Source organism: Homo sapiens, chromosome 1, assembly GCF_000001405.40.
Source record: "Homo sapiens chromosome 1, GRCh38.p14 Primary Assembly".
Classification (NCBI taxonomy): domain Eukaryota; kingdom Metazoa; phylum Chordata; class Mammalia; order Primates; family Hominidae; genus Homo; species Homo sapiens.
In genome coordinates, this window is record NC_000001.11 from 21506122 (window position 1) to 21522385 (window position 16264).

General features: G+C 51.5%; 1 protein-coding gene across 5 annotated transcripts in view, besides 3 other annotated features; it reads left to right on the plus strand.

Annotated features, from left to right (window-relative positions):
• Positions 2863 to 16264, plus strand: part of ALPL (alkaline phosphatase, biomineralization associated) — a 69427-nt gene continuing 56025 nt past the window's right edge. For 3 of the 5 annotated variants that reach the window (NM_000478.6, NM_001127501.4, NM_001177520.3), the window contains exon 1: positions 3302 to 3396. The gene's annotated coding sequence lies outside the window, so the exon portion shown is untranslated. Of the gene's footprint in view, positions 2991 to 3301; positions 3397 to 16264 lie in introns of those variants that run through there. The other 2 variants (NM_001369805.2, NM_001369804.2) reach the window with 2 other exon arrangements.
• Positions 3110 to 3209: a silencer, noted in NCBI's record as "silent region_383". NCBI's record gives its function as "represses an Ori minimal core promoter by ATAC-STARR-seq in GM12878 lymphoblastoid cells {active_cell/tissue: GM12878}" and the evidence as "EXISTENCE:reporter gene assay evidence [ECO:0000049][PMID:35858748]".
• Positions 3245 to 3815: an enhancer, noted in NCBI's record as "H3K4me1 hESC enhancer chr1:21835859-21836429 (GRCh37/hg19 assembly coordinates)". NCBI's record gives its function as "activates a minimal SCP1, AML or CMV promoter by ChIP-STARR-seq in primed H9 embryonic stem cells {active_cell/tissue: H9 hESC(primed)}" and the evidence as "EXISTENCE:reporter gene assay evidence [ECO:0000049][PMID:30033119]".
• Positions 3816 to 4385: an enhancer, noted in NCBI's record as "H3K4me1 hESC enhancer chr1:21836430-21836999 (GRCh37/hg19 assembly coordinates)". NCBI's record gives its function as "activates a minimal SCP1, AML or CMV promoter by ChIP-STARR-seq in naive H9 embryonic stem cells {active_cell/tissue: H9 hESC(naive)}" and the evidence as "EXISTENCE:reporter gene assay evidence [ECO:0000049][PMID:30033119]".

The following is a 16264-nucleotide window of genomic DNA, read 5'->3' on the forward strand; positions in this document are numbered from 1 at the left end:
CAGTAGAGACGGGGTTTCACCGTGTTGGCCAGGCTGGTCTCAAACTCCGGACCTCAGGTGATCCACCTGCCTAGCCTCCCAAAGTGCTGGGATTACAGGCATGAGCCACCACGCCCGGCCTAACTTAGCTTCTAATTCTAATGCCTGGTGAACCTCTTAAATTTTTTTTTCCCAAGACAAAGTCTCACTCTGTTGGCCAGGCTGGAGTGCAGGGGTGTGATCATAGCTCACTGCAGACTCTAACTCCTGGACACAAGAGACCCTCCCATCTTGGCCTCCCAAAGTGCTGGGATTACAGGCGTGAGCCACCATGCCTGGCCTGCCTAGTGAACTTGAAGGTCTAGCTTGCGGCACAGGCTCATGGCATGCACTTAACAGATACGGAATAAATGGATGAATGGAAAAAGCCCTGGACTGGGAATAGTAAACCTGGTAACCAAACCCAGCTCTGACCCTGACCTGTAAGTAACTACTATCTCTGGCCTTGGTGTACCCCATGTATAGTGGGGATTGTAAACACCTGCCCTGCCCACCTTATGATACTGCTGTGAGACTCAAAAGACATCATTAGCTCTTAGGCACAGGGAGCTTGGAGGTTAAATCCAATTTGTTTAGTTTTCAACAAGGAAGTGGTGCCCCAGGGACAATGATGGAGAGAAATCGAATGTAATGAGCTGTTGCCACCAGCTGAGTGGTCCTGAAATCATGGCATCTGGGTTGCACTTAGAGATTGTCCAGTTCAAAAGGCCAGAAGGAATCTGAACCTCGATGGGAAAAGTGACTTGCTCAGCTCCCCAGCAAGCCAGGGCAGAGCTGGAGGATGGACTGGAGTCTCCTGGTTCCAGGTCCAGGACTTCTTTCCGCTGTGTTGACAGAGCCAGGAGGAGGGGCACCCGGGGAGCAGGGGAGGCAAGGGCTGCTGGATGCCCCATCTCAGTTGAATTCTCCTTGAGGGACCCAGCCCAGGAGCAGAGTAAGAGGGTTTGAGGGTGGAAGGTGGCAGGGCTGGCCAAGCAGTATAGTCCCTGCTGCTGATAACCAATCCCTGAAATCCCGAGGTGGAGGGACTTGAGGGCAAATCACAGACATGGGGGACCTAATGCTGGCCATGTGGCTCAACCAGAAGTGCCCGTCCCTCATAGCTTTGGGGAGATCAGAAGTCAGGGATAGGGTCGGGTGTGGTGGCTCATGCCTGTAATCCCATCACTTTGGGATAAGGAGGCAGGGGGATCACTTGAGCTTAGGAGTTCGAGACCAGCCTGAGCAACATAGCAAAACCCTGTTCTTTACAAAAAAATACAAAAATTAGCCGGGCGTGGTGGTGCACACCTGTAGTCCTGGCTGCTGGGGAGGCTGAGGTGGGAAGATCACTTGAGCCCGGGAGGTCGAGGCTGCAGTGAGCTGACATCATGCTACTGCATTCCAGCCTAGGCAATAGAGTGGGACCCTGTCTCAAAAAAAAAAAAAAAAAAAAGTCAGGGGTGCTGGCCCCATGATAGGTGCAATGGGTGCCTCCAATTCCCTCTGGCTCTGCCTCCCAGCCTCTGTCCAAGCAACAGGCAGATTTTCCATGCCTGGGGACTTGCCCCTGGCTCACTGATGATGATACCATCTTAAGTCTCCTGGAATCCTTAAACCCTTCCTTGGCATTTGTGAGCAAGTATTGAGCCCCTCCCATGTTTTAGGCCCAGTGCTGGGTGCTTTCACCTGCAATTTCTTACAGAGGATGGTATTTCCTAAACTCCATTCATTTGCTACCTCCATGATTTTTGCCATATCACCCAACCCATGAAATACATAAATAAATAGTATTTACTCAATATTTTGACTCACTTTTAAAAAACATAAACTTATCTGAAAAGGGAACCTATGTCACGCCTCTAAATAAACAGTATCAACCAAAAATACAAAAGAAACAAAAATAAATACAAAGACATTCTTGGTTTCTGGCACCAGGCCCCAGTTCTGGCTCCAACCTTACTGAGAAGTCACATGATCTCTCTGGGCCTCAGTTTTCTCCTCTGGAAAATGGAGCTTTTGGAAGTTAATGCATGCACAGTGCCTGGCCCTGAGACTGGCATGGAGTGAGTGGAAGAGAGGTTGCCTGACCTGGCTAAAATTGGTTCTCTGGGCAGACATTTTCCCAAGGGCCACTGAGAAGACCCTCCTGTTAGGAGTCAGTGAGCTCTGTCGCTGGAGGCATTCAAACAGAGCCTGCGGACTTCTCACTGCGAAGTTGCCCAGAGAATTCAGTGCTCAGAGGAAAGGGAGTGGTTATTCCATCAGAGCTGGTTCCCCAGGAGCGGGAGCAGGGCCTGTAGCACCCAGCCTCTGTCCCTGGCTCCCGTCTATCCGGGATTTTAGCGTTTCCTCTGTAGTTTTCAAGCACTGTCTCATATGACTCTCGCACCAGCGAGAGGCCAGGGGAGATGGTGTCTGCCTGTTAAAGAGGGGCAGGCTGGTCCACATAGGTCAAGTGACTTGGCCAAGGTCACCAGAGCAGAGTTTTGAACTTGAGCTGTCTGACTCAACTGCCTGGGAAGTGCCTGCCCCTCCTCTGGCATCCAGGGAGCATGTCCTGGGGCTCTGGCTGGGACATAGCCGGACACCTGCGGGCCCTTTACGTCTCTAAAGAGAGAAAGAGGGAAGGGCCCCTGTCTAGGGGGTGGTTTCCCTCCAGATGCCACCCCTCCGAGGTCCCCTTCTGCTTCTTCTTGCGGTAGCCAGGGAGGCAGCCCACGGGCAGGGAAGCGGGGGTGGGGGTGCAGAGTCAGAGGTGCACGTGGACAGAGACAGAGAGACAGGGACACGTGGGCAGAGACGGATAAAGACAGAGACCCAGAGAAAGCCAGATATGTTGACAGACACAGAGACAGACGCCAGAGAGGAAGGCAGACAAAGAGACGGGTGGAGACAAAGACTCCCACCAAGAGACGCAGAAGGAAGATGCCGACGGTAAAGACAAAACAGGAGACGCGCGCAAGGAGCAGGTCAGAGCCCAGGCTCGCTGAGAGAGGAAGGGCTGGGCTGGGGCAGCCCGGAGGCAGAGAGACCGAGAGTGCGGGGCGGGCGAGGGACGCCAGGGCCGCGTCACCCCAGCCCGTTCCTAGCTCCGCTCCCGGCAGGGGGCGCCCTGGCCTCGTGGCACGACCGGCCCGCGGGGCGCGGGGCTCGGGCCGGGGGCGGGGCCGGGGCCGGGCTGGGGAGGGGTTGGGGCCGGGGGCGGGGGAGGGGGCGGGCTGCCCGGGCCTCACTCGGGCCCCGCGGCCGCCTTTATAAGGCGGCGGGGGTGGTGGCCCGGGCCGCGTTGCGCTCCCGCCACTCCGCGCCCGCTATCCTGGCTCCGTGCTCCCACGCGCTTGTGCCTGGACGGACCCTCGCCAGTGCTCTGCGCAGGTAAGGATTCGACGCTGCCCCGCGCCCTGGTTCCCCAGGGCCCCAGCGGACGTGGTCCATCCCCTTCTGCATCCTCCGCTGGCCCCGTGGTTGAACTTTAATGGCAGGGCCGGGGTCTCCAGCGCCACGCCGCCCACAGCAGCCCATTCGGGACGCCCTGCAATTGGTCCTGCCCCTGTCCTCCCGCGCATCCCAAGCTCCCGGCGCGCGCTCTGGGCGGGACAGGAGATTGGACGTGGCGCCCGCGGAGCCGGCGAACTCAGGGGACCGCGCTCGGGACCGCCCTGCAGTCCCAGGGTCTCCTACCTCCCGAGCCGCTGCCTGGGACCCTGCGCTCTGTCTGGGCACCTGCCCTTGGTGCCCCGTGACTGAGCCCCTCCTGGTGCCTCCTTAGCCGTAGCTCTAGAGACCTGGGCTGCCAACCCCAAGGCCTCGTGGCCTGGCGCCCTCCCAGGCGTCCCACCTGACCCGGTGGGGTCTAAAGCAGTTTGGTTTGGGAGGAGGAGAGGGCAGGAGGCGCTTGGAATGGGGGGCGTGGCGGGAGGAGACAGAGGACACCCGCGTGGGTGTCAAAGTGTGGGCACCCACTGTGGGCACCGCAGCTGTGGGGCAAAGCTCTGGAGCCCGCGAAGCCGAAGGAGCCTGCCGCCCCCTTTAGGCTTTGCGAGGTGGGCCTCCCAGGGCTGCTTCCCTGCCCAGTCTTGGTAAGAAAGGGTTAAACGCAGGTCTCAGCAGAAAGGCAGGAGGCCGAGGAAAGCCTCCCCCACTCCCCATTGTGCCTTATGACTCTTTTTCAACACATAATGGGGTCGAAGGCGGGGCCTTTACAAAGGCCTCTGGGTGGAGGGTGAAATTCCTTGAGATCAAAAGAGGGGGCGATTCTTGGGCCAGGAAGGGCTTTGGGCCCTGGGAAAAAGTCAGACCGCTCAGGTGGGCCCAGCTGCCCAGGGAGGCAGGGGTTGGGTCCCAGCCTCAGTGTAGATACTGCAACTGTTTTTTGAAGGCCTACCGTGCGTAGAGGGACCTGCTCTGACATCTCATGTACATCATTTCATTTTACAAATGGGGAAACTGAGGCTTAGACAATTTAAGTAAGTGGTGGGACCAGGGTTTGAATCCAGACTCCAAACTCTGCAGCCCTAGCGTCCTGCTCCCACTGTGTTGCCTAAGAGATAGGGGGCTGAGCCTTGGTTTTGTCTTCCGGCTCCTCCTGGGCTCAGCCCGCTCTTCCTCCACTCTCCAGTCTTGCTCTTTCCAACTGTTTAGTCCTCCCCACCTGTGGGTGTCCCCACGCTGTCCTGCCCCAGCCATCCCACTCCCTGGCCCCATGCATCTTGTTCCTGTGTCACCTTTTTCTTTCTTTAACTGAATACCTGTGAATTCCCTCAGAAGAGGCCCCTGGACACAGCTTCTCAACATCCCAACTGGTGAAGACTAGGCTGAGTGATGATCCCGGTCCATGTGCCCATTTGTAAAAAGGGGTGTATTCCCCTTTCGGGACTATTGTGAGGAATAAAACTGAACTGAGGCCAGAACAAGATGCTATCTTCATTCAGCAAATACTTAAGCATCCGCCGTGTGCCAAGCTCTGTTCTAGGTGCCGGGAATGCCACAGTAAATCAGCCAAAAGCCCTCTTCTGGATTGGATGTTTGCATAACAAAATTCTTTCAGGCTTTGAAACTGTCAGAATTCACAGTGTAGACTTGAAATCAAGCTATTCATAAGGAAGGAGATTAAGACGCAATCACCTGTAAAATGGATTGGCCAACCTTTGGCCCTCACTTTAGCAAAGGCAGCCTTGCTGTGGGACCTGGGATCAGTTCTGTTCCCTCTCTGTGCCTCGGCCTCCTCCCATAAGCTGTGGAGATCAATAGTGCCTACCAGTGGTGAGGTCTAGATATGATGAATGCTTGCGAAGGGTTTAAGCTGGTACCTGTGCTTAAGAAAATCCTGGCTATCCTCAGCTCTCTTCTCAGCAGAAAATGCAATGCGGAGACTGGAAGTTGGGTTATGTGCCTACCCTGCCTCTGAACCTGTTACCCACTTCTGCCCAGGCCCTTCCCATCCTGTTGGGCTACACATGTGGGGTGGCATGGTGCCCTCTTTGCTCACACTCAGATGCCACCTTCTGTCGCCATCCTAAACACAGCCTGGGCTGGGAGCGCAGAGCTCCATGATGAGATCAGCCCTGGAGCCATCATCTCTGCAGCGCTTCCTGCCCTCTGCCTGTTCTTGTGCCTCACCGTGTCCTAGCTCAGGACCAAACTCAGCCCTGTTCTGTCCCATGACTTACATACCCAACATTCCCTGCAAGCTGGATATGATCTTGGAAAGGGGAAGTGAGTTGCCCAGAGGCACACAGATGCTACCTGAGGAGCTGGGGCTGGAGCCTGCGTATCTAGAATTCCAAATCTAGCAATCTCCATGCTGTACCCATCTCTGGGCATATGAGGCCTTTTAATCCAGGGAGTAGGATCCAGTAGCAGAGCCCGAGTTCTCACCTTGAAATCAGTCTGACTTGGCTTTTTAATACAAAACCCAGAGCTCTGAGAGAACATTGCTGGGAGAGTGAGCAAGCTGGGCTGAGAACCAGCACTCAGAAATCTCCATGTGGCCACAGGAATGCTGACTTGGCTTCCCAGCACCATGTCGTCGTCCTTGGCAGGCTGGAGCTGGGCTTTGTGGTATGTTAGATTTGTTTTTTTTCTTCTGGAGATGTCCTCACTTTCAGAGGGCAGTTAGGGGCAGTAGACTGAAGGTTCATTCCCAGCACTGCCATGCGACCCTGGACAAGTCACCTTCCCTTTCGAAGCCTCAGTTTTCTCATCTGCAATATGGGTTAAAATTATATACTTTGCAGGGTCGCAAGATCATAAATGGTTTTCCAACTTTGGGCTGAACCAGCATTGATGTTATTAAGACATTCATATTTCCTGTGGAGCAATTTCAAAAGCAGTTAACTTTATCCCTACCAGGTGATCCTGAGGGCCTGAGGGAAGTCCACGTTTAGGTCACAAAAGCCTACACAGCAGGGAAAACACTGGTTTGGGGGCTGGTGTCTTGGATTCCAATCGCCAGCTGTGTGACCTGAGGCAAGTCACTTTACCTCTCTGAGTGTCAAGCTCATAGGAGGCCCCCAACATCAAGATATGATGCTCAGTGTCTGAAGAACATAGTCTCCGTATTTTTCTGCCTCCTTGTACCAGCTCCCAACCCCCCCGCCAACACTTCGTTAATTGCTCCCAGAAAAACTCTATGCTTAAAGTTTTCCATGCTTAAATTCTCAGCCTCACTGTGGCATGAAATCAATTGTTTGCATTGAATTTGACTTCTCAAATTAAGGGGTAAAATTTGAGATGAGAGTAGGGGGTTAGGGAGGAGATGAGGACGAAGTTAAACCAGATGTGCTTTTGTTTAATTGTAGGATGGTGGTTAAGCTGCTCAAGTATTACCATCGTTCTTTCTGAATTCCAGTAACCAGGAGTCAGGTTTCACAAAAAGTCGTAGTGTTCTTTCCTGGCTGGTGTGGACTCGCCCTCTCTATTATTATTATTATTATTATTATTACTATTTTGTATTCATCTGAGGCCACAGAGTACTGGCCAGAGAGGAGACATAGATCCCCAGAATTTCAGTTGGAAGGCCTTTAGAAGCTGGCTCGGTCAACTGGGCTCTTGGTGCACCAGGGAGACTGAGGCCCAGAGAGGAGAAGAGGCTTGCCCAGGGTCACACAATTGCTTAGGGCAGAGTGGACTGGGAATTCAGTCTCCTGGCCTTAAGCTACATGATCTTTCCAAAGGCAACCACTCTCCTGAATTTGGTGTGTTTCATTTCTACAGTATATTCTTAGCATATCTGTTTTTTGAAAATCATTGTTTAAGGGAGGATGCAGATGATGTGGGTTGGTGGAAAAAGATATTAAGCTCAGGAGAGCTGAGCTGAAGTCCTTGAATACCTCTGTGACCTTGGGCAAGTCACTTCCCCTGTCTGAGTCTCAGATTCTTCATCTGTAAACCAATATATCTGAGGAGTAGGAGTGGAGAGATGAGACTTCCCTAAGACTTGGAATGGGTCTAATGTATTCAACTGGTCCTCAGATATTTATAGCCTGCTGTGTGCTGGGTTATGGGAGATCCATCACAAACTGCCTTCCTAAGGCTGCAGGGGGTGGGGGATTGTTGACTTTTGCGGTGATTAAACAACTTTTATTTAGTTGCTGGTGTTTTTAAACCAGGCAATTTCATTTTATATAAAGATAAGGATTTCTGGCTTCTCTTGAAAGATCAGAAGATGTGGCCATATGGGGCTATGTCCCTGCCTGGCCACAGTGGCTGGAGCTGATTAGCAGCTGCTCCATCCACTTTACCACAGTCTCCACCACGCCCCACTGCCTCACACTTGCCCACCTGCCTCCCTGACATTACCTACCTACCTTCTGAGCTTGCGGTTTCTGGGCTAGATGCAGTGAGGCCATGTAAGAGGGGCTCAAATTCCACTTGAATGATTGTGTGGGGCTTGGGCCAGCCCTCAGGGGGCTCAGGGTGAGAATATGGGACACGTGGACACTAGCCCCTCTTCCATAGCCTGGCAACATCTACAAAACATGTCAGCTAGGCGAAGGAGCTTTTTTCCTGCTTCGGTGGTCCTCAGGAAGAGTCTGAGGGCTCTGGAGGTTTGGGGGTGATAGAGCATCTACCTGTCAAGGCTCAGCGAGTTGAGCCCAGGGTCTAGCTGGGGACAGGCATCGCTGGGTACTTCATTCTAAAGATTGCACAGCCCCTGCAGGGAAGAGACTCCCTTGACAGCTTCCACCTTACCCCTTGCTCCCCAAGAGCCCTGTGCATTGGTGCGCCACTTCACCCTGTGCTCCCTAACAGCCCTGTGCATCAGTGCATAACCACTTCTCAGACAGGAAACACGATCTTGCACTCTGAACCCACAGCTCTCTGTTCCACCCCCTTTGCTGGGAGCCAGGGCCTGGTGATGACAGGCAGGTACCATGGTGGCTGCAGCAAGCATCTTAGAATCGCCATGTCTGAGCCAGAGGGTAGCACAGGAGGCTGTGAAGCCTGATGGTTACATGCGGGGGGCTCTGGAGGCAGCTGCTGTGATGTGAGATTCTAGGTCTCCACGAATCAACTGCTCCAGGGGTTATGAGATGGACAAGGGAGACTGATTGATTGTCGATTGCTGATACTAACCTCACATCCCCTGGTCCTTACACCTGCAGACGACTTCAGAAATGTGCCCTGTGTGGGAAGTGGCATTTTGTGAGCACCATTGGGTACCAGGCACTTTCGCACATTACCTTTGATACTCACCTACCCCCTACTCTCCAGCATTTTGCAGTTAAGGAGACTGAGGCTCAGAGGGCAGACACCTTAGGATTACTCCTCCCCTAGGTCTCTATGCCTCTCTGCTTTGACCCAGGGAAGGGAGGAGAGGACAGGCTGGAAGGTCATTTCTGGAAATAAGGCCGTGGAGACCCTGTAGTGAGGCCCTGACCCTCCAGACTTTCTAAGCCACCCCCTCCTCCTCCACTCCAGCTTGTTTCAGAGATGCTTCTTCATCCTTCCAGAGCTCAGTTTGTCATTCAGGTGCATGAACTTTACCTGGCCAGGTCTGCAAACTGCTGGGCAGAGCTCAGCAAATATTTTATGTTCTTTAAAAAAGTTTTTAGGTGGCTGAAGCAAATTGCTTTTACTGGAAAAACCAGAAGTGTGACCTTTATTTTATTTTTGCAGAGATGGGGCCCTGCTATGTTGCTCAGCCTGGGTTCAAGAAGTCTACCCACCTTGGCCCCTGAAAGTGCTGAGATTATAGGCATGAACCATTGTGCCTGGCCCACAAGTGCACCCTTTAAAAAGATCTACCAGGTGACCCTTTTTTAGACTGAGTATCGCTCTGTTCCCCAGGCTGGAGTGCAGTGGCGTGATCTCGGCTCACTACAACCTCCGCCTCCCGGGTTCCAGAGATTCTCCTGCCTCAGCCTCCCATGTAGCTGGGATTACAGGCACATGCCACCACACCCAGCTAATTTTTGTATTTTTAGTAGAGACATGGTTTTGCCATGTCGGCCAGGTTGATCTTGAACTCCTGACCTCAGGTGATCCACCCTCCTCGGCCTCGCAAAGTGCTGGGATTACAGGCATGGGCCACCACACCTGGCCCCAGTGACTTTTTGTTGGGTCAACCTCTTGCCTTCTTTAGTGCACCTTTACTAGGTCAGTAAAGCCACAGGGTGGGTACCACTTAGCTCTCAGGCTGACGTTCTCAGGCCTCTTGCTGGCTGTCACTGAAGTGTCTCAGGCTTGTTGTTTTTTTGTTTGTTTGTCTGTTTTGTTTGTTTGTTTTGTTGTTGTTGTTTTTTGAGACAGGGTCTAGTGGCTCTGTTGCCCAGGCTGGAGTGCAGTGGCACGATCATGGCTCACTACAGTGCAGCCTTGACTTCCTGGACTCAAGCAATCCTCCTACCCCAACCTCTCAAGTAGCTGGGACCACAGGCATTCGCCACCACGCCCCGCTAATTTTTTTTATTACTTGTAGAGATGAGGTCTTGCAATGTTGCCCAGGCTGGTTTCGAACTCCTGGGCTCAAGTGATCCTCCCACCTCATCCTCCCAAAGTGCTGGGATTACAGGTGTGAGCCACTGCATCTGGCCAGCCTGGCCTTTTGGAGGATCTCATCCCCCTCCACCTGTCTCCACCTGTCTCCACCTTGACTTACCTGTCTCTCAGCATACAGGAGTTACTAACTGACCCGTCTGCCGCCATTCTGGTGAGAAAATGTCTCATCTGAGGCCCATTTCCCCTCCTCCACTCCTTCTGAGCCCTTCTATAGCTCCTCTTCTTTCTCTGCCTCATTCCGCTGGTCCCTGCCATGCCACTACTAACTAAAAGTCCATAGACTATAAGCCCAACATGCACGTACTAGGCATGGTGCTCAGTGCCTTGCCTGTAATTACTATTTGGTCCTACAGCAGCGCTGGGTGGCAGGTGCTATTATCCCCACATTACAGATGAGGAAACGGAAACACAAACTCCCCCAGCTGGGAAGTGAGAAGTAGACATGTTTGTTCCCTGCGGTGACCCATCCATCCATTCAAGGCTACTGCTTTCTCCGTAATGCAAATGACATAACCCATCTTCCTAGAAGAGTCAGTTCCCTATTTATCTTAAAACCATCCAATATAGAAATTCATATTCTAGGTCTGTTAGCCTATCAAGATATCAGAGATAAGCAGGTTTCCTCTCAACAGCTTGTCCAAGCCCTTAATCACCTAAGTGATTTTTTTGTGTGTGAAAATGCTGTTTTTTTGCTTTTCCCCATGACCTAATCCTTATACAGATGCTCCTTGATTTACCAAAGGTTTTTGTCCTGGAATTGTAAGTTGAAAAATATCATAAGTAGAAAATGGTTATAACACCTAACCTGTCAAACATGGTAGCTTAGCCTGACTTACCCTAAATGTGTTCAGAACAGTTACATTAGCCTATAGTTGGGCAAATCATCTAACACGAGGCCTATTTCATAATAAAGTGTTGACTATCTCATGTCAATTTCTTGGCTATACTGTATTGAATGTGAAAAACAGAATGGCTGGTTGGGTACTCGAGGTGTGGTTTCCACTGAACACTGTAGCTTTTGCATCATCGTAAAGAAAAAAATCTTAAGTGTAAGTTGGGGACAGTCTGTAATGAACATTTAAGGGCTTACTCTGTGTCAGAAACTGAGCTAATCACTTTGAATGACCTTATTGTATTGAGCTCATAATTCTTTCCATTTTGCAAACAAGGAAACGGAAGCTCAGAGAGATTGAGTAATGTTCTCAAAGTTTGGAAAGTGCAGGTGAGACTCAAATCCAGGGTTGCCCAATCAGATTGGCATCTGGATTCAAATTTGCATGTTTGGAGAAGAGCTCTCAGGGCACCTTGTGGTACACATTTGTTTTTCAGTGAGTGTTTGCAAATGACATGGGGGTGGGAGGCCCCAGGGGGAGGAGACAGAACATAGACACACCTGGTGGGGCACCAGCGTCTGTTCTCCCAGACAGTGTTTCTTAGCCTGTTCACCCCCTCATAGGAAATGACAAGCCTAGAAGGAAGCATCCTGAGAAACCCAGAGGGGCCTGGGTTTGAATCCCAGCCCTGCCATTTCAAGCTGTGTGACCTTCGCCAAGTCCCTTTCCCTCTCTTAGCTTCTGGCTACCCTCCCTACCACGCATGGTTTATTTGAATGAGGCAAGGCCTTAGGATTTTTCGATTTGTGGATGGCGAATAGCCAGCATGTCTCCTTCCTCTCTCCTGCCCTGCACCCACATCAGACATCACTAGTCAACCACTGCTTGCTTTCCTTCCCAGATTCCTTCTAAGTACAGTGCTCCAGACAGCCATTAGCAACTAATATAGAGTTGGCACACAAGATAAAAGGACATCCCAGAACCAGATTAGATTTGGTCATTGTGTGGGTGGGGGTAGGGAAGGGATAGGCCCAGGTGGCACCCAGTTCAGTGTCACGGTGCTCCTTGGTCTTCTTTTCCTTGTCTTTGGAGGAACTAAGCTAGACTGTACCAGGGCCCACCCCAGGTGTGGGGTAGGAACCTTTTATGAGGCACAGAGCTGTGCCCGTGTTCAGTCCCAAGGGAGAGGCAGGTTTCTGGGCCTCATCACTGTCTAGGCTTAAAGTAAGAGTGACGAGAAAGAGGCTGGTTTCAGGTCCTCCTGGAAAGAGTTAGGCCTGCCCCTCTCCACCCTTTGTAATAACATCCATAGTAGTAATAAGAGTTCTCGACACTGACGGACCACTTGTTACGCACCAAGCCACTCTGCGAAATGCTTTGTATACATTTACACATTTAATCCTTATACCAGCCCATTTTTCAGGTGAGGAGAATGACTCAGAGTAATTAGCCTGGGTTTGCCCAGCTGGTAAGTGTCGGAGCTACGATTTGAATTCATATCTGTCAAACCCCGAATAAATAACTCTTATTACTACGATGGATATTATTACAAAGGATGGGGAGGGGCCAGCCTAACTCTTTCCAGGAGGACCTGAAACTGAGCTCTTTCTTTTTTTTATGGTATTCAGAACATCACTTTATAAACTGTTGTCAGATTACCATTTAAACATTAATACCCAAATACAGAATTTAGACAATTACTTTAAATTGTAACTGTACCATCCCCAAGCTCTCAGCTATGAATTTGGTTTGGGGAGAGGGCTCCGTAATAGGCCACTGAAGTCCCCCGTCCCACCCCTTTTTTCTCCCCTGAAAACTAGCTGCCTGACTGCTCTGCCAGACTTGGGCTAGAACTTGGCTTCACTGTGACAGTGGGACCACCTGGGCCCTACAGTGTGGCAAAACCGACCCGCCCACAAACTCCATCCCAGGTGTTGAGATGCTAACACACTGAAGCTGAAAGACCCCACTTGGTTTTGCCACAGATCAAGTTGCATCTGACTAGAGAGCCTGTCCTCTACCCTATTTCCTGCACAAGTCTTTTTCTTTGTAATGCAACAAGCGCTACTCAGCTCAGATCCAGTGGGACACAGGGAAAGGGGCTGTAGTGTAGCCCAGCCTTGCTGAGGGAGACCCCTGCCTCGCCAAAGCACTTCGCTCACAAAGGCTGAAACTGGCCTCTTTCTCGTCACTCTTACTTTAAGCCTAGGCAGTGATGAGGCCCAGAAACCTGCCTCTCCCTTGGGACTGAACATGGGCACAGCTCTGTGCCTCATAAAAGGTTCCTACCCCACACCTGGGGTGGGCCCTGGTACAGTCTAGCTTAGTTCCTCCTGCTTTCCTCCACCGCAGGCTCAGTGCGGGGCCCGCGGCCTCTGCGTCTTTCTCTCAGCTTACCATGATCATTTCTCATTGATGAGTGCGATACGTCTTTGCCCGTGGAAAGTGCTTTACCATCGGCAGAGCCTTCCACGTTTACACATGCGCAGCACAGCAAAGGGCATCTCTTTTTAAAAGGGAGAAAACTGAAGCTCAGAGGCTGGGCACAAGGGCTCACGCATGTAATCCCAGCACTTTGGGAGGCCAAGGCGGGCAGATCACTTAAGGTCAGGAGTTCAAGAACAGCCTGGCCAACATGGTGAAACCCTATCTGTACTAAGAATACAAAAACTAGCTGGGCGTGGTGGTGTATGCCTGTAATTCCAGCTATGTGGGAGGCTGAGGCATGAGAATCACTTGAATCCGGGAGGCGGAGGTTGCAGTGAGCAGAGATCGTGCCACTGCACTCCAACCTGAGTGACAGAGTGAGACTGCATTTCAAGAAAACAAAAAGAAGATTGAGGCTCAGGGAGGGAGGGTGGTGGGCCCCGGACCACACAGCGAATAAACGGTAAACCCTGCACCAAGGAATTAGGTACCCCACCTGTTCCCTAGGCCTTCTGGAACAAATTGCCTAGGGGAACCTGAGGTCAGTGCTGGGAACGCAGGAGTGGTGGCTCAGCAGAGGCAGGGGTTGTGCTGCCCCCCGCATCCCACCCAGATACACCCTATCCTGTTTTAATCAGCCATTGACCTTGGACAAGTCACTTTAACACTGCCAACCTCAGTTTCCAGGCACTTATTCTATTTTTCAGGTTTTTTTTGTTGTTGTTGTTTGTTTGTTTTTTGAGACAAGGTCTTGCCCTGTCACCCAGGCTGGAGTTCAGGCACGATCATAGTTGACTGCGGCCTTGACTTCCTGGGCTCAAGTGATCTCCTGCCTCAGCCTCCCGAGTAGCTGGAACTGCAGGCTTGTGCCACCATGCCCAGCTAATTTTTTTTATTTTTTATTTTGTGAGATGAGGTCTTGCTTATGTTGATGAGGCTGGTCTTGAACTCCTGGGCTCAGGCAATCCTCCCACCTCAGCTTCCCAAAATGTTGGGATTAACAGGCGGTGAGCCACCAGGCCTGGCATATTTTTCAGTTTTTAAAGCCATTTCTTTTTTCTCTTTTTTTTTTTTTTTTTTTGAGACGGAGTCTCGCCCTGTCGCCCAGGATGGAGTGCAGTGGCTTGATCTTGGCTCACTGCAGCCTCCCAGGTTCAAGTGATTCTCCTGCCTCAGCCTCTGGAGTAGCTGGGACTACAGGGGTGTGCCACCACGCCCGGCTAATTTTTTGTACTTATAGTAGACACGGGGTTTCACCGTGTTAGCCAGGATGTTCTCGATCTCCTGACCTTGTGATCCGCCCACCTTAGCCTTCCAAAGTGCTGGGAGCCACGGTGCCCGGCCGAAAGCCATTTCTTATTCATGAACTCACCGAACCATCAAAGCAACCCAATAAAGTATTCACATCATTTTGCAAAGTGGGAGACTGAGGCTTGGGGAGGCAAGCAACTTGCCTGAGGTAAAATTGATGGTAAAACCAGGCCTCAAACTCAGGTCAGGATCCCAGGCTGAAGGTCTTTCCCCAGCTGTGTCTCCAGTCTCTCTCATCGTTGCCTTTGTACCTGCCATCCCCTCCCCTGCAGCAACCTCTCCCTGTTTGTGTTGCCAGTTGGCATCATGGCTGTTTTTCTAGAGCTTGCTTTGGATATCTTGAACCCTTTGTAATCTGATCATCCACATAGCATCTGGCTCTGAGTTTCAGTTCCTGGAGGGTAGGAGCCCCATCTGAGTCACTCGTGAATTCCCATGCCTAATAAGATGCCTGCTTTCAGCAAGCGTTTAATGACTTTTTTTTTTTTGAGACGGAGTCTGCTCTGTCGCCCAGGCTGTAGTACAACGGCGCGATCTCGGCTCACTGCAACCTGCGCCTCCCGGGTTCAAGCGATTCTCCTGCCTTGGCCTCCTGAGTAGCTGGGATTACAGGTGCCTGACAGCACGCCTGGCTAATTTTTGTATTTTTAGGAGAGACAGGGTTTCATCATGTTGGCCAGGCTGGTCTCAAACTCCTGACCTCAGGTGATCCACTTGCCTTGGCCTCCCAAAGTGCTGGGATTACAACAGCCCATTTAATGACTTTTGAGTTCATGAAAGGCTGCCCCACTCGGCAAGGGTTTCCACAGCTGGCCTGGCTTTGTTACCATGGGGAAGCCTGGGAGGGATGCCCCACTGGGTGTGACTCTTGAGCCACTCAATGCGAAGCCTGGCCACCCTCCCCAGACCTTCACTGGTGTCCTTGCACGAATGCCACCAGCTCATAAATGGTTAGTGATTGGCAGCAGGACAAGCCAGTGTCTCTGGGTCCAGTTTTCCTGTTGGCAGTTCAGGCCTTTAGTCTCACTCAGGTATGAGGTGCCCAGTGTCATACCTCTGGCCAATGTCTTTGTCCATTTTGTTCACAGATGTACCCCCAATCCCAAACAGCCTTAATTTCTTTAATAATAATAATAGTCATAGCTGTAAATTTGCTGAATCTGCATGTACCATGCTTCCTGGTGCATAGTAGGCACTTAATACATATTTGTTGAATGAATGAATACTCGCAGCGAGTTAACATTTCTTAGAGACTGAGAGTCCCTAAGTGAAAGGTCACTTGCATGACCTCTGTGCCTCAGTTTCATGTGTCGACTCCGTGAGAGGTACTCAGAGGAGTAACCAATACATATGTCCATTTTTTTTTTTTTTTTTGAGATGGAGTCTCGCTCTGTCGCCCAGGCTGGAGTGCAGTGGCGCAATCTCGGCTCACTACAAGCTCCACCTCCTGGGTTCACGCCATTCTCCTGCCTCAACCTCCCCAGTAGCTGGGACTACAGGCACACACCACCACGCCCAGCTAATTTTTGTTGTATTTTTTAGTAGAGACAGGGTTTCACCATGTTAGCCAGGATGGTCTCCATCTCCTGACTTCATGATCCGCCCGCCTTGGCCTCCCAAAGTGCTGGGATTACAGGCGTGAGCCACTGCACCCGGCCAGGTTTGTTTAA